General features: G+C 41.6%; 1 protein-coding gene and 1 long non-coding RNA gene across 5 annotated transcripts in view, besides 7 other annotated features; one reads left to right on the forward strand and one right to left on the reverse strand.

Moving 5' to 3' along the window:
* Positions 209-503: a silencer, noted in NCBI's record as "tiled region #10899; K562 Repressive non-DNase unmatched - State 23:Low". NCBI's record gives its function as "represses a minimal TATA promoter and a strong SV40 promoter by Sharpr-MPRA in K562 cells {active_cell/tissue: K562}" and the evidence as "EXISTENCE:reporter gene assay evidence [ECO:0000049][PMID:27701403]".
* Positions 209-503: an enhancer, noted in NCBI's record as "tiled region #10899; HepG2 Activating DNase matched - State 8:EnhW". NCBI's record gives its function as "activates a minimal TATA promoter and a strong SV40 promoter by Sharpr-MPRA in HepG2 cells {active_cell/tissue: HepG2}" and the evidence as "EXISTENCE:reporter gene assay evidence [ECO:0000049][PMID:27701403]".
* Positions 5892-7053, reverse strand: VPS13A-AS1 (VPS13A antisense RNA 1). The gene is made up of 2 exons (NR_026668.2): positions 6763-7053; positions 5892-6042 (listed from the first exon to the last, which is right to left on the reverse strand). It is a non-coding gene; the product is annotated as a VPS13A antisense RNA 1 (long non-coding RNA).
* Positions 6298-6627: a silencer, noted in NCBI's record as "silent region_19965". NCBI's record gives its function as "represses an Ori minimal core promoter by ATAC-STARR-seq in GM12878 lymphoblastoid cells {active_cell/tissue: GM12878}" and the evidence as "EXISTENCE:reporter gene assay evidence [ECO:0000049][PMID:35858748]".
* Positions 6298-6683: a biological region, named in NCBI's record as "Sharpr-MPRA regulatory region 12012".
* Positions 6389-6683: an enhancer, noted in NCBI's record as "tiled region #12012; K562 Activating DNase matched - State 4:PromP". NCBI's record gives its function as "activates a minimal TATA promoter and a strong SV40 promoter by Sharpr-MPRA in K562 cells {active_cell/tissue: K562}" and the evidence as "EXISTENCE:reporter gene assay evidence [ECO:0000049][PMID:27701403]".
* Positions 6389-6683: a silencer, noted in NCBI's record as "tiled region #12012; HepG2 Repressive DNase unmatched - State 1:Tss". NCBI's record gives its function as "represses a minimal TATA promoter and a strong SV40 promoter by Sharpr-MPRA in HepG2 cells {active_cell/tissue: HepG2}" and the evidence as "EXISTENCE:reporter gene assay evidence [ECO:0000049][PMID:27701403]".
* Positions 6670-24809, forward strand: part of VPS13A (vacuolar protein sorting 13 homolog A) — a 244004-nt gene continuing 225864 nt past the window's right edge. For all 4 annotated transcript variants that reach the window (NM_033305.3, NM_001018037.2, NM_015186.4 and 1 more), the window contains exon 1: positions 6670-6940. In NM_033305.3, coding sequence (NP_150648.2) covers positions 6841-6940 — 100 coding nt within the window. In that variant the 5' untranslated portion in view covers positions 6670-6840. The remainder of the gene's footprint in view (positions 6941-24809) is intronic.
* Positions 7666-7835: a silencer, noted in NCBI's record as "fragment chr9:79793446-79793615 (GRCh37/hg19 assembly coordinates)". NCBI's record gives its function as "represses an EF-1alpha promoter that drives an FKBP-Casp9 reporter gene in an ReSE screen in K562 erythroleukemia cells {active_cell/tissue: K562}" and the evidence as "EXISTENCE:reporter gene assay evidence [ECO:0000049][PMID:32094911]".

Below are 24809 nucleotides of genomic sequence, written 5' to 3' on the forward strand. Positions count from 1 at the left end.
TCAATTTCGAAGGCTATAAATTCCACGTTTATGACCTCCATCACATCAATGTATTTCTATTCATTTGAATTGCATTGGCCTAGTTGAGATCTATAATTACCTCCTGCCTAAATCTCCATAATGGACTTTCACTGCTCTTTAACTCCGGGACTTTCCCACCCCACTCCATCCTGGTCAGTGCTTCCTACCTGTATGTTTTATTTTACTTGCATTAACAGATAAGTAGGGGAGGGTAGGTGAGGCAGAGTGACAGTGGCTGTCCTTAGAACTGCACATTGACATGTGGTCCAGGCTCTGGGGAAGGGCTTAACAGAAATAGCAACACACACATGGAACACAGAGCTTCTAGTTCAGTCAATGGTTCACAAAGGAGGGAAAGAAATCAGAGGCAGGAAATCAAGATCATGGTCAATATTTGGAAGTCCAGAGAGGAAGAGAGTTCATTCTGGGAGGTCTTTCACATCCTGTCTAAATCAATATTGGCTCACAAATGGAGAGGTTGGGCTGAACAAACAAGGAGGGGCAGTGGTATCAGTGGATTCAGTTCAGAGTGAGCTATCTAAGCCCACTGCCCCTGTGCCACAGGGCAATTAAGAACAAACTCTCAGCACGCCACATGCACAGCCCCACCTCTCCATCCTTCTCCTGGACCTACTTCATACTGCACTGATTGACCTGTTCTTGATTATCCAAACCTTTGACCCTTGGGCTCATTACCTATTTATAGACTAGCAGTTGCTGCCTGTCCTGACACTTAAGCAGCTCTCTGGCCCTGAGCCTGGCTTCCCTCCTCAGTCATAATTTGTATTTACTCCCTTTGATTACATGGCTTCCCTCTCTCAGCCAAACATCTCCCTTGCACAGACTCAGCTGCAGGCCCCAACTCCCCTTTCTATAGATATAGGTACGTACAGAATTGTTAACTAGATAAGTAATTAAGTAGTGAAAAGGTAAAGAGAGAATTCTAAGGTACTGAGGAGGCAGTTACTGCAAAAACCAGATACAACCCCAAGGGTTCAGTGAGCAAAGGGACAGACTTGGAAATTTAGAAGAGGGGCCCTCAAACTGAAACTCAGACTTCTGAGGCGAGGGGATGCTTGACTGGCCCTTGTGCCTCTGAGTTCTGAGAAGCAAACTTCTAAGGATGGGGAACAATGAAGTTGGTTCTGACTGTTTTGAGATAGTGAGGTAATGCTGATTCTGCAAGTGTTGGAAAAAATGCCAGCTAGATTAAGGTGCTGCTAAAGTGATATGGCAGAGCATAACTGCTGGCCACTAGAGACTGAGAGGTCAGGGAAGACATCACCTCTATGATTAGGTGATATCTGAGCACAGAGCTGAATCACAAGGAATCAGCTTTTAATATCAGCCATGTTAAAATCTGAGATCAAAAGCACTGGTGGACATCAGTATTTGGTACCCTCTTTTTCTGGGAAGAGCTCAGGTGTTTTAAGTATTTAGAGTCAGAGGAAGTTGCTTGAGAGTCCCTTATTGTACATCCCTCTTTCAAGTATTTTACCGGGATCACAGCATAATTGATATTTCAATACATGCTGGTAAGTCACCACATTCAGATACTTTTCTTTCTTGAATATTTTTACCAGGCACCCCGTGCAGGGATATTAAATTATTATGTAGGAGCTGTTAACTCTCAGGCTTATCTCATTCTCTGGGGCATCTCCTAGTTGACTTTGACTCAGCAAACCCTTCAAAAATTATTTTAAAAATAATTATACTTTGATAGAGAGTTGTTGCAAAAAAATCTATAGGGGGGGTCCCATATACCCTTCACCCCAGTTTTCCCCAATGGTGACATCTTATATAACTATAATGCAATATCACAATAAGAAAATAAAGATATTGGTACTATCCATGGAGATTATTCAGATTTCTCCACTTTTATATGCACTTACGTGTGTGTGTAGTTTAATGCAATTTTATATAACCACTGCCACAATCGAGATACAGAAGTGTGTCATAAACATAAGGCTCCTTCCTGCTATCCATATGTAGCCGCACCTATCCATCCTACTTATACTTAACCTTTGGCAACAACTAATTTGTTTTCCATCTCTATAAATTTGTTACTTCAAGAGTGTTTCACAAATATAATAATACATGTTTTCACTCGCATAATTCCCCTGAGATCCATCCAAGTTGTTGCATGTATCCATAGTTCACCTTTTTTTATTGCTGAGTATTCCACAGTGTGGATGTACCACAGTTTGTTTAAACATTCACCAGTTGAAAAAAATGTGGGCTGTTTCCAAGTTTTGGCTATTCATGTACAGGTTTTTGTGTGATCTATAAGGTTTCATTTTTCTGGGATAAATGTCCAGGAGTGCAATTGCTGGGTCATATAGTAAGTGCATGTTTAGTTCTTGTGGCAACTGCCAAATTGTTCTCCAGAGCGCTTAACTATTTCACAACCCCACCTCCAGTGAATAAATGATCCAGTTTCTCAGTATCCTAACCAGCCTTGGTATTGTCACTATTTTTTCCAACCATTCTGATAGATATAATATGATAAGATATTCTGATATCTCATTGTGGTTTTACTTTTCATTTCCCCAATGGCTAATGATGTTGCACATGTTTTCATGCGCTTGTTTCCATCTGTATATACTCTTCAGGAAATGTCTGCTCATGTCTTTTGGTAGGCTTTTGAGAGTTCACATCCATGTCTATCAATTATCCGATAAGGTTCAGAACCCGCTCACAGCAATTCATCAATGTGCATACATAGTTTTCCCAGAGAGTTATAAGATAACATACAACATAATAGCATTTCTGATACATCTTCTTCACCAGTTTAGAAGGGCAAAATAATACATGCTCACTACAAAAAAATTAAACTTGAAAGAACAGAAAAAATACACATTGCCAAAAGTCTCACCATATAGAGATAACCACTGTTAATATTTGGTGAGCATACTTCTAGATTTCTTTCTGTATGTAAATGCTCTGCACACTTAAAAACTCACCAATTTGTATAATTAGTGGGATACTATTCTGCACCTTGTTTCTCATGAGCATATATTATCGACATCCTTCCACACTAGTATAGACTTTCATTATCATCTTAATGCCTGTATAGTAACCCACTACGTGTGTATGTTTACTTAACCAGCTTCCCTGTTAATGGATATTTCGGTCGTTTCCATTTCTTTTTGCTATTATAAACAATGCTTTAAATAGTGTTCTTGGCTGGGCTTGGTGGCTCAAGCCTGTAATCCCAGCACTTTGGGAGGCCGAGATGGGTGGATCACTTGAGGTCAGGAGCTGGAGACCAGCCTGGCCAACATGGCGAAACCCTGTCTCTACTGAAAAATACAAAAATTAGCCGGGTGTGGTGGCACCCGACTGTAATGCCAGCTACTTGGAGGCTGAGGCAGGAGAATCGCTTAAACCCTCCTGGGAGCGGAGGGTGCAGTGAGCCAAGATCGCACCATTGCACTCCAGCCTGGGTGACAAGAGCGAGACTCTTTCTGAAAAAAAAAAAAAAAAAAAAAAAAAAAAAAAAAGTTCTTGTGGGAATAATTTTTTGGATTTTTATAATTATTTTCTTAGAGTAAATCTGTGGAAGTGGGATTGCTGAGTTCGTCATATACACATGTACGTATATATATGTATGTACGCTGATATATATACACATATGTACTATGTCAGTTTGTAAATGTTTAGGAACTGCCTTTTAGAAATATTGTGACAATTTACATTTTCCCCTGCCCTGCTTAAGTAAGATTCTTTTTTTTTTTTTTTCTGAGATGGAGTTTTGCTCTTGTTGCCCAGGCTGGAGTGCAATGGTGTGATCTTGGCTCACTGCAACCTCTGCCTCCTGGGTTCAAGCGATTCTCCTGCCTCAGCCTCCTGACTAGCTGGGATTACAGGTGTGTGCCACCATGCCTGGCTAATTTTTTTTTTTTTTTGTATTTTTAGTAGAGACGGGGTTTCGCCATGTTGACCAGGTTGGTCTCGAACTCCTGACTTCAGGTGATCCACCTGCCTCGGTCTCCCAAAGTGCTGGGATTACAGGCATGAGCCACTGTGCCTGGCCTTAAGTAAGATTCTTATAAGGTTTTTACCTTTTTGCTTGTATTCCCCTTCCAGTGAATTTTTCTCTTTTTATTAAGGATTGGAACACATGGTCTAAAGAATTTTTTTTTTTTTTTCACTGTGTCACCCAGGCTGGAATGCAGTGGCACCATCATAGTTTACTGCAGCCCCAAACTCCTGGGCTCAAGGGATCCTCTCACCCTTGGAGTAGCTGGGACTACAGGCATGTGCTACCATGCCAGGCTCCAAATAACTTTTTATTGTTTAAAATTTTTAAAGCATAAACAGATGGAGCACAGGGCTCTGTGAAGTTAGATCAGTAAAAGTCCCATACCTATAAAACGGCCATCTTCTACACTTGTTCCTCCAGGACATCTTCTGCTTCAACAGCTTTGTGGTCTGCTTCAACAGCTTTGTTATCTGGCCATCTAGCCTGCTACCACAATGCCCATGGGGAATGATAAGGACAAGCAGCCCACCAATGACATTTACTTGTGGACAAAAGAATTAAGATTAGGAGAAAAAAAAATTCCAAGATTACTACCAGTACACCAAAACTTTAAAGACGAAGAGCTGTGGCATGGAAGGTATACATAAAACTGCAAGTCCTACTTGCAAAGTTAGAGATTTATTGTAAAGTTAGATGATATTGCAGTTTGGGGTCATTCAGATGCTCTCCCCCTCTTTTGTTTTTCCATTTGATCAAACAATGAAGTATAGCATTTTAATTGTGATCTAGAGAAAGAATAACATACACTGACATACTTCCTAATTTGAAACTCGAGTTTTTATGGTAGTCATTGGGCTTATTTTTCAAGGTACAACAGAAATTTGGTTTAATGGTTTAATGAGCATACCTTTTACATGATGATGTTAATATATTTTTGCTTACAAACTTCCTTAGATGGATTAAGCAATGCAAAGACTGAATGCAAAATGTTGTCTTTTAGTATTTACAAAGCATGTTCATATACATCTAACACTAGATAAGAATTCGGTTACAATATGCATCCACTTATTTCTAACTCTTCCTCAGCAGAATTTTTTTTCATTGCTTTATGCTTATACCTCTAACTTTTCAGCAACATCCCTTCCCCTTCCTCACTTCCACAAAATTTTCCTAGATCGTAGAAAACTAATATGAAAACGTTTGCAAGATACTTAAGATGGATTTTTGGAGTTCTGGAAATTCTTGTAACTTTGAATTTGCAGCGCTAGATATAACAGCGGAATTTTGCAGCTACTGTGTATCTGGCTTCTTATTAATAGTGCAATGGCAAAATGCCTCATTATGTAGAGCTCTTCCCCTTCCTAGGCATTTTAGCCTCTATTCGTTTCTCCGTGCAGGTATTCTGAAGCAGACTGTTAGCTGAATGAGAGAGAAGCAGGTGGGGTGGTAGCCAATCAGAAGGGCCAAGTTCCAGTTCTTCCACAGAACATTGGTTGTATGACCTTGCACACATCCCTAACACTTCAGCTTCATTATATTTAAGACTAGGAGGTTGGAGACCTCATAAAGGTCCTTCAAATATAAAATTATATGAAAAACATTCATAAACTCAGGTAAAAACTTACAGTTTTTGTCAGGCATTCTACTTGCAAAGGCACACCCTAAACATTTAATTTTGAAAAGTCGGTGACTATGCACAAAAAGTAGTAAAATGACACAGGAATTAATAGAAATCCATCATTATTCATTTAACGTGTAAAGAGAAAACGCTCAATGTACACTTTTTCGGTCCTGCAGATGATTAATTACAGTTCTCTAAACCTCACATTTAGCATCTCTGTGACCTCAGGCCTTTGGGATTACTTCTAAGTAAGACCAAACAGGTCGAAAGATCTGTAATTGTAATTTATTTTAGGTCAGTGGTTCGGTGGAGGCATAGGGGTCAAGGGTCCAGCACTCCCAGTATTTCTTGGAGGGTGTTCAGCAGTTTCCAGACCGGCTGACTCCAACTCTTATCTGCAGGGAAGCGTGTTACTCTTTGGAATGAAAGACAGCTCCGTATAAATGACTTGACCAAAAATGGGTGCTCATCTCAGATGCAGGGCAGGGACTATGTAACTCCATCCTCGACTCGCAGCAGGAAGTTAACTCCTCCTGAGAGCCAGGCGGTCGGAGGACCAGGCGGGGAGGTTACAGGCACCAAGACACCCAGGCTGGCTGGACCCTCCCACCCTGTAATGATGAGGGGAGATGCTCCCTGGGACAGCCCCCTTGAAGCTTCTGGCGACGGGGCTGGGATCCGCCCACCCTTACTCAGGGGCGAGCCCTGTCATACGCGTGGAAGCGGCCACCACCTTCTAGGGGGAGGGGCGTTCCCGTCGGGCGTAACCGCCCCGCCCTGGGGGGCCGCTGGGGACGCTGATCTGCAGGAGGGGGCGGGGTCGGAAAAAATCCGGTAGCTCCAGACCGGTGTCCCGTTGCCAGGCGATGGGGAGGAGGCGGGGCCGACAGGAAAGAGGAGCCGGGCTCGGCGCGAAAAGGGCACCCTCCAGAGCCGCGGCCGCGCAGCCGCCTTTCCTCCCTCTCAGGGCTGCGCGCCCAGGTCTGCGCCGCGCTCCGCCTCCAGCCGCGCGCAGACTTGCGCACGCGTCGTGAGAGCGACCGCCTCCGTCTCTCGCTGGGCTCGCTAGGGCTGCGCGTTGGGCCAGCGGGGGCGCCGCAGCTGAAGCCGCCCCGGAGCCGGTGAACCGAATTACCTCGAGGGAGGGGCGTGGGGAAGGCGGCGGGAGGAGGAGCGCACGGGCCGGCTGCCGTGCCCACCACGGCTGAGGAACATGGTTTTCGAGTCGGTGGTCGTGGACGTGTTGAACCGGTTCTTGGGGGACTATGTGGTGGACTTGGACACGTCCCAGCTCTCTCTGGGCATCTGGAAAGGTAAGGAGGCCGCCGCCGCCGCTCCCCGGCCTCTCGTGCTTCCCGGCCGTCTCGCTGCCCGAGCGGCGTCCTGCGTTCTCGGGGCTTCGAGCACCTTGCTCGCCGGGTGCAGCCACCTGCCGCCGCCCGCCTGTGGGTCAAGTTACGTAAAGCCGGGCGGCAGTTCCCTGGCCTCCGCCCTCGAGTTGTTTATATTTTGGGGGAAAGGAGAGGGTCATGAGTGCGGGATGAAAAGGTCTATATTTTCCGAGCGGAGCGGACTTGCCGTGGGCTCCGTGGGTCTGGCGTTCAAGTCCCGGCGAGGGGCCGTTCTCTACCCCTGGCCCCGCACGGTCCGGCTTTAGCCGCGCGGGGCGAGGAGGCGAGACGACGCCTTCCTGGGCTGGGTCCCATCCCTGTCCTTTGCCCCCCTGGGTTTATGACGAAGGCCCCAGAAATCCCCCGCGTGTTGCATGCTGCCTCGCACGTGAAGGCAGGGCGCTGTGACCGGGGACGCCCGCTTCCTTGCTTCCCCAGCCTCAATTCCTGGCTTCACCCGTGGTGCTTTCTGCTCTCCCCCTTCCGGCCCTAGGACCCGGACGCCGGCTCTCTCTCGCCTGGGTTCGGCGGATAACAAAAAGGAAACTCAAGTGCAAAGTAACTCAAACAGTTGCTTGTGTGGTTGCAGTTAACAGCCTGACCTAGGAATGTGTAACATTTTCAAGACTTTAGGATATGTGGGTCAGAGTGAATTGCCGAATTTTAAAGAAAAACCAGGGCGTGCGGTGCAACGTCTCAGACCTGCAAAAGACCGGGCTGAACAGGGCCCTACGCTGCCTAGGTGGTGAAGGACCGAGCTTTCCTTGTGTCCGTTTAGTGTGGTATTCTGCCTTAGTGAGAGCCTCATTTTTAGTGTTTCCATCTGTTTTTGCATTATGCGCTTGTTTATTTTAAACACCCGCTAGAAATTAGACTCCTTTGTGAAATGAATTTCCCAGGCCAAAGTGAGGGTTAATTTTGTGTGTGAAGTGTGTGTGTTTAAATATATATTTAAAGTAATTTATTCTTGTCTGTGCACACACTTCCAGTCTTCTTCTAAAATACTTACCTTGACTCTTCTCGTTTATGAGATAATGTAAACAGGTAGTTTAGTTTGATTTTAAAGAATGTTACTACCGTGGGGACCTAGTATCATGATGGAGAGTGAGTGGACTACAAAAGCTAGGGATATAGTGATAGCTGCTCAGCCTGTTTGATTAGTACAAGAAACTTGCAGTCTGTTTATGCTGCTTCTTAGTTGCAAAGTGAAAATAAAATTTGTCTCCCATGTACCTCAGAAGGAAGCCTTAAGAATACTTGAGGTGAACTTTGATCTGTAGTGGAGTCTTGCTTCCACATTCAGGGTGGAGGTTTGTCTAGAGTGTGATTAATCAACTTATTTATTTGTTTAAAATTTACATGCAGTAAAATTCACTCTTGTGATACAGTTCTGTCTTGACAAATGCTAAGAGGCATGTATGCACCACCACAATAATGGCACATAAAAGGTTCATCAAGCCTCCCGAATTCTCTCAGCTGCTCCTTTGCAGTTGATCTCACCCCGCCACCACGCCCGGCTAATTTTTAGTAGAGAGGGGGTTTTGCAATGTTGGCCAGGCTGGTCTCAAACTCCTGACCTCAAGTAATCCGCCTGCCTCTGCCTCCCAAAGTGCTGGGATTACAGGCGTGAGCCACTGCGCCCGCCTGACTGTAAGTATTTATCTGTTTGCTGGTTGAAGAATATTTCAGTTTTTGGAGGTTATAAATAAAGCCGTCATAAACATTCACGTACGGGTGTTTGTGTGAACATAATTGTTATTTCTCTTGGATAAATACCTAAGAGTGGTTTTAAATTGGGTTGTACGTTTTTTTTTTTTTTTTGAGATTTATTTCATATACCATAAATTTCACTCTTTTAAAATGTACAATTCAGTGTTTTTTAGTATAGTCACAAAATTGTACAACCATCACCACTCTCTCATTCCGGAATATTTCAGCACCCCAAAATTAAATCGTATGTCCATTAGGAGTGACTCCCAATTTCCTCCCTTCTCACTACTCCACCTCTGGCAACCACTAATCTTTCTGTCTTTATGGATTTGGTAATTCTGGACATTTCATTTAAATGGAATTATATGATATGTGGCCTTTTGTTTCTGGCTTCTTTAACCTAATGTATTTTCAAGGTTCCTCCATGTTGAAGGATGTATGACTATTTCATTTGCTCTTAGGGTTGAATAATATTCCATTATATTCATAGACCACAATTTATTTATCTATACTCACCAGTTGCTGGATGTTTAGATTATTCCTAAACATCCACCTTTTGGATATTATGAATAATGCCACTGAACATTCATGTACAAGTTTTTTTGTGGATGTATGTTTTAAATTCTCTTGGATATATACCTAGAAGTGGAATTGCTGGGTCATATGCTGACTTTGTGTAACCTTTTGAGGAACAGCCAAACTCTTTTTCCAGAGTGTTTGTTTTCTTATGGTTGAGTTTTGAGAGTTCTTTAAATATTAAGGATACAATTTCTTCATCAGATATGTAATTTGAAAATACTTTCTCAGTCTTTTCCCATTTTGTCTTTTGCAGAGCATACATTTTTGATTTTGGGAAAAGCCCAGTTTATAAAACATTTCTTTTATGAATCATGGCTTTTGGTATTCATATCTAAGAAATCTTTTCCCAACCCAAAGTCAAAGATGTTCTCCTGTGTTTTCTTAAGGAAGTTTTGTAGTTTTAGGTTTTGGATTTCTTTTTGTATAAGGTGTGTGATATGTGTTGAAGGTTGAGGTTCATTTGTTTGCATGTGGATGCAAATATCCAATTGTTTAGCACCACTTGCTAAGAAAGAGGATCCTTTCTCTATTGAATTATCTTTGCATTTCGTAAAAAAAAAATCAGTAGACTTAATATTGTGTGGCTTTAGTCTGTCTCAATCTGTGTGTCTATCATTTCACCAATACTACACTGTCTTGATAACTGTGTCTTTGTAGTTAGTCTAGAAATCAGGTAATGTGATCCCTCTAACTTTAGTCTTTAACAAATAATTTAAAAAATAACAAGTCATTGTCCAGGTGTGGTGCTCATTCCTGTAATCCCAGCACTTTGGAAGGCTGAGGCGGGAAGATTGCTTGAGCATAGGAGTTTGAGATTACAGTGAGCTCTGATCATGCCACTGCATTCCAACCTAGGCAACAGACAGCGAGACTCTGTCTCAAAATAAAATAAAATAACATGTCAGTGTTTTATTTATAGAAATTGGTTATGTTTTGATAAATGAAACTTTAAATAATAGCTGGAGTATTTTTTTAAAATATTCTTTGAGAATTTCAAAAGTAGTAATTTGATAAATTTGGAGGATTTTTTAAAAACATTGTTTGAAAATTTCTGTAATAGAAACTAGGTGGCCAGGCATAGTGGCTCATGCCTGTAATCCCAGCACTTTGGGAGACTGGGGAGGGTGGATCACTTCAGACCAGCCTGGCCAATGTGGTGAAACCTCATCTCTACGAAAAAAATAAGATACAAAAATTAGCTGGGTACTGTGGCGCTCGCCTGTAATCCCAGCTACTCAGGAGACTGAGGCAGGAGAATCACTTGAAGCTGGGAGGCATAGGTTGCAGTGAGCTGAGATCACACCATTGCCCTCTAGCCTGGCCAACAGAGCGAGACCCTGCCTCAAAAAAAAAAAAAAAAAAAAAGAAACTGGATGCTGCATAGGAAAATTTTAAGATAATATTTTATGGTCTAACGTGAAGGACCTATTGGTAGTTGTAAATGTGTGCTTTTGCTAGGCTTCTGAAATAATCCAGCAAATTTCAATATTAGCATGTTACTATAATAGTATCAATTAGTATTCAGTCATTGCTAATAATGGATGGTGCTCTGAAAATTTGTTGCTGAGATGGATTCTTTGGAAATCAGAATGCATTTTTCCCATGGAAGCATTCTTATATATGAATGAGGACTTTTCCAAAAACCTGTTTAACTATAATGCAGCAGAAGAGTGCTACTGTACTGGGTTCAATACAGTAAGTAGACTCACTGCTAGAAGACTCTGTCTTACAGGGGATGAAAAAGGAATTGAGCTTCATTCCAGGACTGACTCTTGGCAAATTTTGATGTTGGTAAGGTATACTTTTTATACACTTCTATTTATAATTCTCCCTTCCCATATATCATCTAGTTAGAGAGGTGGTAATATTTCATAGACTCATCTGAAATTTATCTTCCCAACTTTCTCCAGCAATTTTCTTTTTCTTTTTCTTTTCTTTTTGAGACGGAGTCTCGTTCTGTCACCCGGGTGGGAGTGCAGTGACGCGATCTCGGCTCACTGCAACCTCTGTCTCACGGCCTCAAGTGAGTCTCCTGCCTCAGCCTCCCGAGTAGCTGGGATTAAAGGTGCCCACCATCATGCATGGCTAATTTTTGTATTTTTAGTAGGGACGGCATTTCACCACGTCAACCAGGCTGGTCTCGAACGCCTGACCTCAAGTGATCCACCTGCCTTGGCCTCCCAAAGTGCTGGGATTACAGGTGTGAGCCACTGCGTCCGGCCATTTCACATATTTTCTTTAAGAGCTAGGCTGCATCAGAATCAGCCATAGGTGCTTATTATGAATACAGAACCTGCCCCCAGAGATTATAAATTATTTATCTGGAGTAGGACATGAAAATATTTTTTTAAACAAATGACACTGGGGACTTGATGCACAGTTGGGTACATTTTAAGAGAACATTAAGGGGAAAAGTATTAGAATTTTAAATAGACAAAAGCAGTAGTAAAAGTGGCTTGTGTGATAGAATTATCATTTGTAACACAGGAAGTACCTGTACTTCATAGCCCCTTCTTAAGTTAGCCTCCTTTGTCTCTATTTTGTTTTCTCCGAAATCACAATACTTGGACAAATTTGTAATTTTTTTTTGATAATGCCTGACATCTTTATGTAACATTAGAAGTTCAGATTTCTTGTCTATTAACTAACATACGTATTCTGTTTTTGAAATGTTAATCTCCCAGTTTTCCCTTTATAATAGAATCATGTGTTTAGTGGCCACTTAGCTGGATACCGCCATGATACCAGAAGCAGTACAAAAGATGAAGATTCAGTTAGGATACAGTTTTCGATTTTTAAGGAGTCATTCTTCTGTGCCCAGAATACACTAGGGAGCCAAACAAATGATTCTTACAGTCTGGTGTTAATGACCAATTCTAATTCCTTATGTATTATTTTTATATTTATGTTCTAAGATACTTTAATAAAACTTTAAAGACTATGAAACATTTTATTATAAAAAGTGTTAGGAGATTTTACAGTGCCTCTCCATATACCCATTATCTAGATTCTGTCATTAATATTATGTATTAACAGCTTTATTGACGTATAATTAACATGCAGTAAAATACACGTTAAAGTCTACAATTTGATAAGTTTTAGCATATATGTGCATGCAGGTAACAATCATCACATGATAATGAACATATCTGTCATACCTAGAAGTTTCCTTGTGCCTTTTTGTAAACCGTATCTTCTAACCCTCCTTGTCCCTTATACCCTTCTTGTCCCCAGGTTTTTGCTGATTTGCTTTCTGTTACTGCATATTAGCTTGAGTTTTCTAGACTTGGATAAATGGGATTGTACAGTTTGTATTCTTTCAGTCTGGCTTATTTCAGCATAATTATTTTGAGATTCATCCATGTGGTAGTACAATCAATAATTTATTCCTTTTTATTGCTGACCATAGCAAGTGGTGGTGAGGATGTGCAAAAACTGGAACTCTGTTAATATGTCTCCTGGGGATGTAAAATGTTAAACAACTTGGGAAAACAGTTTGGCAATTTCTTAAAAAGTTAAACATACATCAACCATGTTATCAAGCCATTGTGCTTCTACATGTTTACCCAAGAGAAATGAAAGCATATGTTCATACAAAGATTTGCACACAGATGTGCATAGCAGCTTTATTTTTAATAGCCCCAAATGGGAAACAGTCCAAGTATCCACCAACAGGTGAATGGATAAACAAACTGGCATATCCATATAATGGAATACCATTAATATTTAACCACACATGTTTTGTCACATACCTGTCCATCTGTCCATCTCTCTATCCATGCAGCAATTCATATTATTAAATGTATTTCAGAATAAGTTGTAGAGATGAGCTCATTTCCTCCTAAATACTTCAGCATGTGTATCATTAGAGTGCAATATTTGCTTAGTTTTTTTCCTTTTGAGGTAAAATTTATGTAGAAGAAAATATACAAATCTTAAGTGTACATTGACTGAGTTTTGACAAATACATACACACATGTAACTCAAACCCAGTCAAGATATAGAACATGACCATCACCCCAGAAAGTCTTTTTCCTGACCTTTCCTAATTTATTCCTACCCTCATCTTCAGAGGCAACAAATACTCTAATTTTTTTCTTTCTGTCATACATACACATCTATTCTGCTTTGCTGAGAGTGTTTTCTTTTCCTTCAAGAATGTTGGAGCCAGGCATGATGGCTCATGCCTGTAATTTTAGCACTTTGGGAAGCTGAGGTGGCCAGATCAGTTGAGGCCAGGAGTTCGAGCCCAGCCTGGCCAACATGGTGAGACCCTGTCTCTACTAAAAATACAAAAATTAGCTGGGTGTGGTGGCGGGCACCTGTAGTCCCAGCTACTTGGGAGGCTGAGACACGAGAATCGCTTGAACATGGGAGGCGGAGGTTGCAGTGAGCCGAGATCGTGCTACTGCACTCCAGCCTAGGTGACAGAGCAAGACTCCGTCTCAAAAAAACAAAAACAAAAGAATGCTGGATTTTGTCAAATGTTTTTTTCTGCATCTATTACTATTATCACAGGATTTTTTTCTTTTTTAATCTGTTGGTGTGATACATTACATTAATTGATCTTTGAATGTTGAACTAGCCTTGCATACCTAGAATAAATCCCATTTGGTCATGACGTGTATGTTTAGCACTCAGTATCTCCAGGGGTTTAGTTCCAAGACCTGTGCAGATACCAAAGTCCACAACAGGGAGGGCATGGAAGCTCCCCACCACCTTACTTTGCTCTGTCCATCTCTTTATCTGTATCCTTTGTAATATCCTTTATGATAAACTGTTAAATATAAGTATTTCCCTGAGTTTTGTGAGTTATCCCAGCAAATTATCAAACCAAATAAAATCAGGTGCGAACCCTGATTTATAGCTGGTCAATCAGAAGCACAGATCACAGCCTGCGACTTGTGACTGACATCTGAAGTGAGGGGCAGTCTTATGGAACTGAGCCCTTACCATGTGGGATATGACATTATCTCTTTTTTTTTTTTTGAGACAGAGTCTCGCTCTGTCGCCAGGCTGGAGTGCGGTGGCGCAATTTTGGCTCACTGCAACCTCCGCCTCCCGGGTTCAAGTGATTCTCCTGCCTCAGCCTCCCGAGTAGCTGGGACTACAGGCGCCTGTCACCACACCAGGCTACTTTTTGTATTTTTAGTAGAGACGGAGTTTCACCATGTTGACCAGGATGGTCTTGATCTCTTGACCTTGTGATCCACCTGCCTTGGCCTCCCAAAGTGCTGGGATTACAGGCGTGAGCTACTGCGCCCGGCTCGATATGACACCCTTTCTAGGTAGATAGTGTCATTATTTAATTGAATTATAGTTAGTGTCTGTTGGAGAATTGTTTAGGGATTGGGGGAAAAACTTCACATATCTGGTTATCTAAGGGTTCTGTGTCGAATATGAGAGTAGAGAGAAAAACCTTTATTTTCCTTTGACAGTGTCTTATCATATTTATAGCTGTTTTCTGTTTTGTTATACTTGTTTCCTTTTTAAACAGTCTTCCCCTCCTCTTTTGCCCTCTCTGGTTTTAATTGATCATGTGATATGATTTAATTTTTTTCTCCTGTCTTAGCATACCAATTATGCTTCTTAAACAATTTATTTAAGTGGTTGTATTACAGTTTGTGCTGTTCACTTAAAACTAGTCCAAGTCCACGTCCAAATAACATTATAGGTCAGGTATAGTGGCTCACGCCTGTAATTCCAGCATTTTGGGGGACTGAGGCTGGCGGATCATTTAAGGTTAAGAGTACGAGACCTGCCTGGTCAACATGGTGAAACCCCATCTCTACTAGAAATACAAAAAATTTGCTGAGCATGGTAATGTGCGCCTGTAGTCTCAGCTACTCAGGAGGCTGAGGTATGAGAATCTCTTGAACTGGGAGGCAGTGAGCCGAGATTGTGCCACTTCACTCTAGCCTGGGCGACAGTGCGAAACTCTGTCTCAAAAAACACAAAAACAAAAATCCCACTATACTACTTCATGGAAAATGGAGGTAGTATATGTAATACTCTATCTTACAATACAGTATACAGATTCCTCCCTTCTGCCCATTGTAACATTGTTGTCATTAATTTCACTTACCTATAAGCTGTAATAATCCAATGCATTGCTGCTATTAGTATTTTAGACATTTTTCTATTAATTTAAGAATAAGGAAGAAAAGACTTAATTTACCTTCATCTCTTAATTCTCTAATGCTCCTGTGAATCTGAGTTTTTGGTTTAAATCATTTTCCTTCTTTCTGAAGAACTCCTTTATTTATTTGTTTTTTTTAATTTTTGAGATGGAGTCCTGCTGTGTTGCCCAGCCTGGAGTGCAGTGGCGCAGTCTCTGCTTACTGCAACCTCTGCCTCCTGGGTTCAAGCGATTCTCCTGCCTCAGCCTCCTAAGTAGCTGGGACTACAGATGCATGCCACCATGCCCAGCTAATTTTTGTATTTTTAGTAGAAATGGGGTTTCACTATGTTGACCAGAATGGTCTTGATCTCTTGACCTAGTAATCTGCCCGCCTCGGCCTCCCAAAGTGCTGGGATTACAGGTGTGACCCACCACACCCGGCCTATCTTAACCATTTTAAGTGTACACTTCATGTCATTAAGTACACTTACATTGTGCAACCATCACCACCATTCATCTCCTGACTTCACCATTATTCATCTCCTGAATTCTTCATCTTGCAAAACTGAACCACTTACCCGTTAAGCAATGACTACCCATTCCACCGTCTTCCCAGACCCCAGTAACCGTTATTCTACTTTTGATGTCTGTAAATTCGAATACTTGAAGTATAAGTGGAATTATACAGTATTTGCCATTTGTTATTGGTTTCTTTTACTTGGCATAATGTCCTCAAGGTGCATCCGTGTTGTAGGAAATGTCAGCATTTCAATAATTTTTCAAGCTAAATAGTATCCCATTGTATGTATATACTGCATTTTGTTTCTCCATTCATCTGTTGATGAATAGTTGGGCAGCTTCCACCTTTTGGCTGTTGTGAATAATGGTGTTATGAATGTGGATATTTTTCTTTGAAGTTCAGTCTGTGCTGTCAGATTTTTGGGTTACATACCCAGAAGCAGAATTACTGGATCATATAGTAATTCCATTATCAATTTTTTTGAGGAATTATCATACTACTTTCTATAGTGACTGCACCATTTTACATTCCTACCAACAGTGTACAAAGGTCACCATTTCTCCACATCCTCACCAACATTTATTTTCTCTTTTTTTGATAGTAGTTATCCTAATGGATATGAGGTGGTATCTTGTAGTTTTCATTTACATTTCTCTAATTAGTAATGTTGAACATCTTTTCATGGGCTTATTGACCATTTGTATATCTTAATTGGAGAAACATCTATTTAAGTCCTTTGTCCATCTTTTAATCAGGTTGTTTGTTTTTTGAGTTGTAAGAGTTTACATACAAACATACACACACACACACACACACACACACAATGTTAGCTGCTTATCAGATATATGATTTGCAAATATTTCCCATTTTGTGTGTTACCTTTTCTTCCTTTTTTTCCCTGCTAACTTTTATTTTAGGTTCATGGGGTACATGTGTGGGTTTGTTGTGTGGGTTAATTGTGTGTCACTGGGGTTTGATGTATAAATTATTTTGTCACCCAGGTAGAGAGCATAGTACCCGATAGATAGTTTTTTGATCCTCACCCTCCCCACACCCTCCACCCTCAAGTAGGCCTTGGTGTTTGTTGTTTCCTTCTTTGTGTCCATGTGTACTGGATAGAGTTTGAATACATGTCCCCACCAAGTCTCATATTTAATTGTAATCCCCATTGTTGGAGGTGGGGACTGGTGGGAGGCAGTTGGGTCATAGGGGTGGATCTTTCATGGCTTGGTGCTGTCCTTGCAATAGTTCTTGCAAGATCTGGTTAAGTGTGTGGCACCTCCCTATGCACTCCCCCTCTTGCTCCTGCTGTGACCATGTGATGTTCTGGCTCCGCTTTTGCCTTCTGCCATGATTGAAAGCTTCCTGCGTCCTCCCCAGCAGCTGGGCAGATAGATGCTGGTGCCATGCTTCCTGTACAGCTTGCAGAACCATGAGCCAATTAAACCTCTTTTCTTTGTAAATTACCCAGGCTCAGGTATTTCTTTATAGCAACACAACAATGGACTAACACAGTACTCAAGTTTTAACTCCGTCTTGTGAGAATATGCAGTATTTGGTTTTCTTTTTCTGTGATAACTCGCTTAGGATAATGCTCTCCAGTGGCATCCATGTTGCTGCAAAGGGCATGATTTTGCTCCTTTTCATGGCTGTGTGGTAGTCCATGGTGAACATATACTGCATTTTCTTTATCCAGTCCACTGTTGACAGACATCTATGTTGATTCCATGTCTTTGCTATTGTGAAGTGGTGCTGTGATGCACATACGCATGCATGTGTCCTTATGGTAGGACAGTTTATGGTCCTTTGGGTATATACCCAGTAATGGGATTGCTGGTTCTAATGGTAGTTCTTAATTCTTTGGTAGTTCTTAGTTCTTAAATCTCCAGACTGCATTCCAAAGTGGCTGAACTAATTTACATTCCCACCAGCAGTGTGTAAGTGTTCCCTTTTCTCTGCAGCCTCACCAGCATCTGTTATTTTTGACTTTTTAATAATAGCCATTCTGACTGGTGTAGGATCGTATCTCACTAATCATTAATCCTCTAATGATTAGTGATGTTGAGTTTTTTTTTTCCATGTTTCTTGGCCGCATGTGTCTTTTGAGAGGTGTCTGCTCATGTCCATTGCCCATTTTTTAAATGGGGTTGTTAGTTTTCTGCTTGTTTGTTTAAGTTCCTTATCGATTCTGGATAATTAGATCTTTGTTGGATGTATAGCTTGCAAATGTTTTCTCCCATTTTGTAGATTGTCTGTTTACTCTGTGGACAGTTTCATTTGCTGTGCAAGAGCTCTTTAGTTTAATTAGGTCCCACTTGCCTTTTTTTTTTTTTTTTTTGTAGTTCTGGAATTTTCATCATGAAATCTTTGTCAGGGCTTATGTCCAGCATGGTATTCCCTAAGTTTTCTTCTAGGGTTTTTATAGTTTTAGGTTTTACATTTAAGTCTTTAATCTATCTTGAGTTGATTGTTGTATATGGTGAAAGGTAGGATCCAGTTTCAGTCTTCTGCATGTGGCTGGCCGTTATCTCCACACCATTTATTGAATAGGGAGTCCTTTTCCCATTGCTTGTCAGTTTTGTTAAAATCAGATGGTTGTAGGTGTCTGGCTTTATTTCTGGGCTCTTGACCTGTTCCATTGGTCTACATGTCTGTTTTTGTATCAGTGCCATGTTGTTTTGGTTATTGTAGCCTTTTAGTATAGGTTGAAGTCAGGTAGTGTGATGCCTCAGGCTTTATTCTTTTGGTTTAGGGTTGCTTTGGCTATTCAGGCTACTTTTTTGGGCCAGTATGAATTTTAAAATAGTTTTTTCTAATTCTGTGAGAAATAACATTGGCAGTTTGATAGGAATAGCATTGAAGCTGTAGATTGCTTTGGGCAGTATGGACATTTTAACAATTTTGATTCTTCCTGTCTATGAGCATGGAATGTTTTTCCATTTGTTTGTGTTGTCTCTGATTTCTTTGAGCAGTGTTTTGCAATTCTCATTGTAGAGATCTTTTACCTCTCTGATTAGCTCTATTCCTAGGCATTTTATTCTTTTTGTGGCGATTGTGAATGGGATTGAATTCTTGATTTGGCTCTCAGCTTGGATGTTATTGGTATATAGAAATACTACTGATTTTTGTACATTGATTTTGTATCCTGAAAGTTGGTTGAAGTTATTAGTTCTAGGAACCTTTGGGCAGAGACTATGGAGTTTTCTAGGTATAGAATCATACCGTCTGCAAACAGGGATGATTTGACTTCCTCTCTTCCTATTTGGATGTCTTTTATTTCTTTCTCTTTCCTGATTGCTCTGGCTAAGACTTCCAGAACTATGTTGAATAGGAGTAAGTGGGTATCCTTGTGTTGTCCTGGTTCTCAAGGGGAATACTTCCAGATTTTGCTCATTCAGTGTGATGTTAGCTGTGGGTTTTTCATAGATGGCTCTTATTATTTCCAGGTATATTCCTTTGATGCTTAGTCTTTTGAGGGTTTTTAACATGAAGGGATGTTGAATTTTATCAAAAGTCCTGAATCTGAAAAGATGATCATGTGGTTTTTGTTTTTAGTTCTGTTTAGTAATGAATCACACTTATTGATTTGTGTATATTGAACCAACTTTGCATACCAGGAATAAAGTCTACTTGATCATGGTAGATGTGCTGCTGGATTTGGTTTACCATTTTGTTGAAGATTTTTGCATTTATGTTAATCAGGGATATAGGCCTGAAGTTTCCTGTTTTTGTTATGTCTCTGCCAGGTTTTGTTATCAGAATGATGCTGGCTTCATAAAATAAAATGAGTTAGGGAGGAGTCCCTCCTTCTCAATTTTTTGGAATAGTTTCAATAGGATTGGTACCAGCTCTTCTTTATATGTCCGGTAGAATTTGGTTATGAATCCATCTGGTCCAGGGCTTTTTCTGGTTGGTAGACTTTTTATACAATTTCAGAACTCATTATTGCTCTGTTGAGGTATTCAGTTTCTTCCAGGTTCAATCTTGGGAGGTTGTATGTTTCCAGGAATTCATCCATTTCTTGTAGATTTTCTAGTTAGTGTGCATAGAGATGTTCATAATAGCCTCTAAGGATTTTTTGTATTTCTCTGGGTCGGTGGTAATGTCCCCTTTGCCATTTCTAATTGTGTTTATTTGGATCTCCTCTCTCTCTTTTTTTTTCTTTGTTAGTCTGGCTGGCAATCTATCTTATTTATTCTTTCAAGGAACCATCTTTTGTATTTTTTTTGTTCAGTTCAACTCTAATTTTGGTTATTTCTTTTCTGTGGCTAGCTTTGGGGTTGATTTGCTCATTTTTCTAGTTCCTCTAGGCATGATGTTAGTTGTTAACTTTATATCTTTCTAACATTTTGATGTGGGCATTTAGCACTATAAACTTTCCTCTTAAGACTACATTAGCTATGTCCCAGAGATTCTGGTATATTGTATCTTTGTTTTCATTAGTTTCAAATAATTCCTTTCTTTTCTTTTCTTTTTCTTCTTCTTTTTTTTTTTTTTTTGAGACAGGTTCTTGCCCTGTTGCCGAGGCTGAAGTGGAGTGGCATGAACACGGCTCACTGCAGCCTCCACCTTCCAGGCTCAAGCAGTCCTCCCACCTCTCAGCCTCCTGAGTAGCTGGGACTGCAGGTGTGCACTCCTACACCTGGCTAATTTTTTTTGTATTTTTTGTAAAGACAATGTTTCACCATGTTGGCCAGGCTGGTCTTGAACTCCTGGGCTCAAGTGATCCCCCCACCTAAGCCTTGCAAAGTACTGGGATTACAGGCATGAGCCACCGTGCCTGGCCCAAAGAATTTCTGGATTTCAGTGAAATTAAGATTTCGTTGTTTACCCAAAAGTCATTCAGGAGTGGTTTAATTTCCATGGAATTGTATGGTTTTGAGAGATCTTCTTGGTATTGTTACCTATTTTTATTGCACTGTCATCTTGAGAACATGGTTGGTATGATTGTGGGATTTTTAATTTGTTGAGAATTGCTTTATGGTTGAGCATGTGGTTGGTTTTAGATACGTGCCATGTGCATATGAGAATAACGTATATTCTGTTTTTGTTGGGTGAGGTGTTCTGTAGAACTCTGTTAGGTCCATTTGGTGAAGTGTTGACTTTAGGTCTGTCTAATACTGTCAGTGGGTTTTTGAAGTCTCCCACTATTATTGTGTGGTTGTGCAAGTCTCTGTAGGTCTCTGAGAGCTTCTTTTTTGAATCTAGGTGCTCCAGTGTTGGGTATATACGTATTTAGGATAGTTAAGTCTTCTTGTTGAATTCAACCTTTTATTGTTTTGTAATGCCCTTCTTTGTCCTTTTTGATTGTTGTTGGTTTCAAGTCTGTTTTGTCTGAAATAAGTTACCCATGCCTGCCCTTTTTTGTTTTACTTGCTTGATAGATCTTTCTCCATTCCTTTACTTTGAGCCTATGGGTGGCATTGCATATGAAATGGGTCTCATAAAGACAACATACAATTGGTTCTTGGTTCTTCATATGAATTGCCATTCTGTGCCTTTGAAGTGGGATGTTTAGCCTGTTTACATTCAAGATGAATATTGTTATGTGCTGATTTCATCCTGTTATCGTGTTGTTAGCTGGTTGGTATGCAGACTTGATTGTATAGTTGCTTTATAGAGTTAGTGGTCTCTGTACTTAAGTGTGTTTCTGTGGTAGCCGGTAATGGTCTTTCATTTCCATGGTTAGTACTCCCTTAAGGACCTCTTAAAAGGCAAGTCTGGTGGTAATGAGTTCCCTTAGCATTTACTTGTCTGAAAATATTTTATTTCTGATTCACTTATGAAGTTTAGTTTGGTTAGATATGAAATTCTTGGTTGGAATTTCTTTTCTTTAAGGATGCTGAATTAGGCCCCCAATTTCTTCTGGCTTGTAGGATTTCTGCTGAAAGGTCTGGTGCTAGCCTGATGGGATTCCCTTTGTAGTAGACCTACCCCTTCTCTCTAGCTCCCTTTATTATTTTTTTCTTTCACATTGACCTTGGAGAATCTGATGATTATGTGTCTTGGGGATGGTCATCTTGTATAGTATCTTGCAGGGGTTCTATGAATTTCCTGAATTTGCATGTCAACCTCTCTAGCTAGGATGGGGAAATTTTTGTGGACAGTATCCTCAAATATGTTTCCAAGTTGCTTGTTTTCTCTCCCTCTCTTTCAGGGACAACAGTGAGTTGTAGATTTGATCTCTTCACATAATCTCATGTTTTTGGGAGATTTTTTTCCATTGAAAAGTTATTTTTCCTTTATTTTTGTCTGAGTTGATACTGAAGAACCAGTCTTCAAGTTCTTGAGATTCCCTCCTCAGCTTAATCTGTTCTGCTGTTAATACTTCCAGTGATATTGTGAAGTTCTTGTAGTGAGTTTTTTAGCTCTGTCAGATCAGTTTGGTTGTTTCTTAAAATGACTATTTCATTTTTCAGCTCTTGACTCATTTTACTGGAGTCCTTAAATTCCGTGGATTGGGTTTCAACTTTCTCCCGAATTTCGGTATCTTCTGAGTTTTATGCCCATCATTTCAGTGTGATTAAGAACCATCACTAGGCTGGGTACAGTGGCTCACACCTGTAATCCCAGCACTTTGGGAGGCTGAGGCGGGCGGATCACTTGAGGTCAGGTGTTCAAGACCAGCCTGGCCAACATGGTGAAACCCTGTCTCTAATTAAAATATAGAAATTAGCTGGGTGTGGTGGTGGGCACCTGTAATCCTAGTTACCCAGGAAGCTGAGGCAGGAGAATCACTTGAACCCGGAAGGTGGAGGTTGCAGTGAGCCGAGATCATGCCACTGCACTCCAGCCTGGGCGACAGGGCAAAACTCTCTCTTCAAAAAAATAAATATATAAAATAAGAACCATTGCTGGGGAGCTACTGCAGTCATTTTAAGGTAAGAAGACACTCAGGCTTATAGAGTTGCTAGAATTCTTGCCCTGATTCTTTCTCATCTTTGTGGGCTGATGTTCCTTTAATCTCTCCAGTTGCTATCCTTTGAATGAGGCTTTTTGCTTTTATATTCTTGGATGCCCCAAGGGTTTGACCTTGATATAAGTTGAGTTTAGTCGACTGGCATAGTTTCTTGATGATTTCTGGGTACCAAGGCTCAGCTCAGCACTCCTGGCATGCATGCTATAACCCTGGGGTGTTAGGACTAGGCACATGACTTTGTTCTCTGTCTCCTCGAGGTTAAGCACCCATTGCACTGGTGGGGCCAAGGTGTTCCCGGTCTGCTGGGCAACAACACTCTGATGGTGGGGCCGGCAAAAGTGCTTGGTTGGGGTGGTGACAGTAGGGTGGTAAGGCCTGCATATACATTGGAAAAGCCGTCGGGGGAGGCTGTGGGTGACGGTGTCCTGGCAAAACAGTGCGGGGAAGCTGTGCGTGGGTGGATGCTGGTGGAGGCCCATGTGCAGGTGCTCTCTGGTGGTTACCTGGGGCTTGCCAGCAAAGGAGCTATAGTGGTGGCTGTCGGGAAGTGCTGCGGTTGGGCATCAGCGTCCATTGCAATTGGATGTGGCCAGGCAGGGACTGTGGAACAGGCAACCAGGGATGGGGGTTGGGGGGGGCGCTCAAATCTGACAAGCCCTGTGCCATGGGCAAGATAGTTCTGTTCTGTCTAGGTCCAATAGTCAGCAAAGACCAAAGCTACCTAGAGGTGTGTGGTGAGCTTTGGGAGATGGACATACCTGGCCATGCTCCACTGCAGCCATTCCCACACCAGGCCTTCTGGGCTCCGTGCAGACTGGAGTCCTGTTTCTGCCAACTTCCCAAGCAGCTGTCTTTGCAACCTCAAATGTCTGTAGGGGTCATGGAGCCTCCTTCAGCTAGGATTCTAGAGGTCCATGACAAGAACAGGCTACTCCATGCCTGTTTAACTCATCCTTTCCCCAGGAGCATTTGGGGTCAGAATGAGTCATGGTGCTAGGGGAGCTCCCTGTAAGGTTCCCAGCTTTCTCCTCCTTCAGCCCAGGATCCGCATCCTCCTTCTGTTCACTCTCAGTGCCTTCCTTCCAAAGATCTGCTCAGAGTGTGCTGGTCTTCTTGATGGCCTGGTCTCTTGGTGGTGGAAGCTCTTCCTGACTCTGTGTCTACTTGGCCACCCTGACTCCTCTCTGTTGTCTGTTCACTGTATATAGTGTCATGTGAGGAATAAAAGTTTTAACATTTGACGAAGTCCAATTCACCTATTTTTTTTCTTTTGTTGCCTATGCTTTTGGTGTTATATCCAAGAAATCATTGCAAAATGCAGTGTCACAGAACTTTCTCCCTATGCTTTATTCTAAGTTTTATAGTTTTCAGTTTTACATTTAGCTCTTGGATCCATTTTGAGTTAATTTTTGAATATGGTATAAGCCTGTCACACAGGCTGGAGTGCAGTGGCGCAATCTCGGCTCACTGGAAACTCCGCTTCCCGGGTTCACGCCATTCTGCTGCCTCAGCCTCCCGAGTAGCTGGTACTGCAGGTGCCCGCCACAACACCTGGCTAATTTTTTTGTATTTTTAGTAGAGACCGAGTTTCACCATGTTAGCCAGGATGGTCTCCATCTCCTGACCTCGTGATCTGCCTGCTTCGGCCTCCCAAAGTGCTGGGATTACAGGCGTGAGCCACCTTGCCCAACCTATTGATCTTTTTAGAAAACTAACAGTCGGTGTCCCGGTGCAGTGGCTCACGCCTGTAATCCCAGCGTTCTGGGAGGCTGAGGCGGGTGGATCACTTGAGGTCAGCAGTTCGAGACCAGCTTGGCCAACATGACAAAACCCCGTCTCTACTAAAAATACAAAAATTAGCTGGGCATGGTGGTGGGCCCCTGTAATCCCAGCTACTCAGGAGGCTGAGGCAGGAGAATCACTTGATCCCAGGAGGCGGAGG

The sequence above is a fragment of the Homo sapiens genome, chromosome 9 (genome assembly GCF_000001405.40).
Source record: "Homo sapiens chromosome 9, GRCh38.p14 Primary Assembly".
Lineage (NCBI taxonomy): Eukaryota > Metazoa > Chordata > Mammalia > Primates > Hominidae > Homo > Homo sapiens.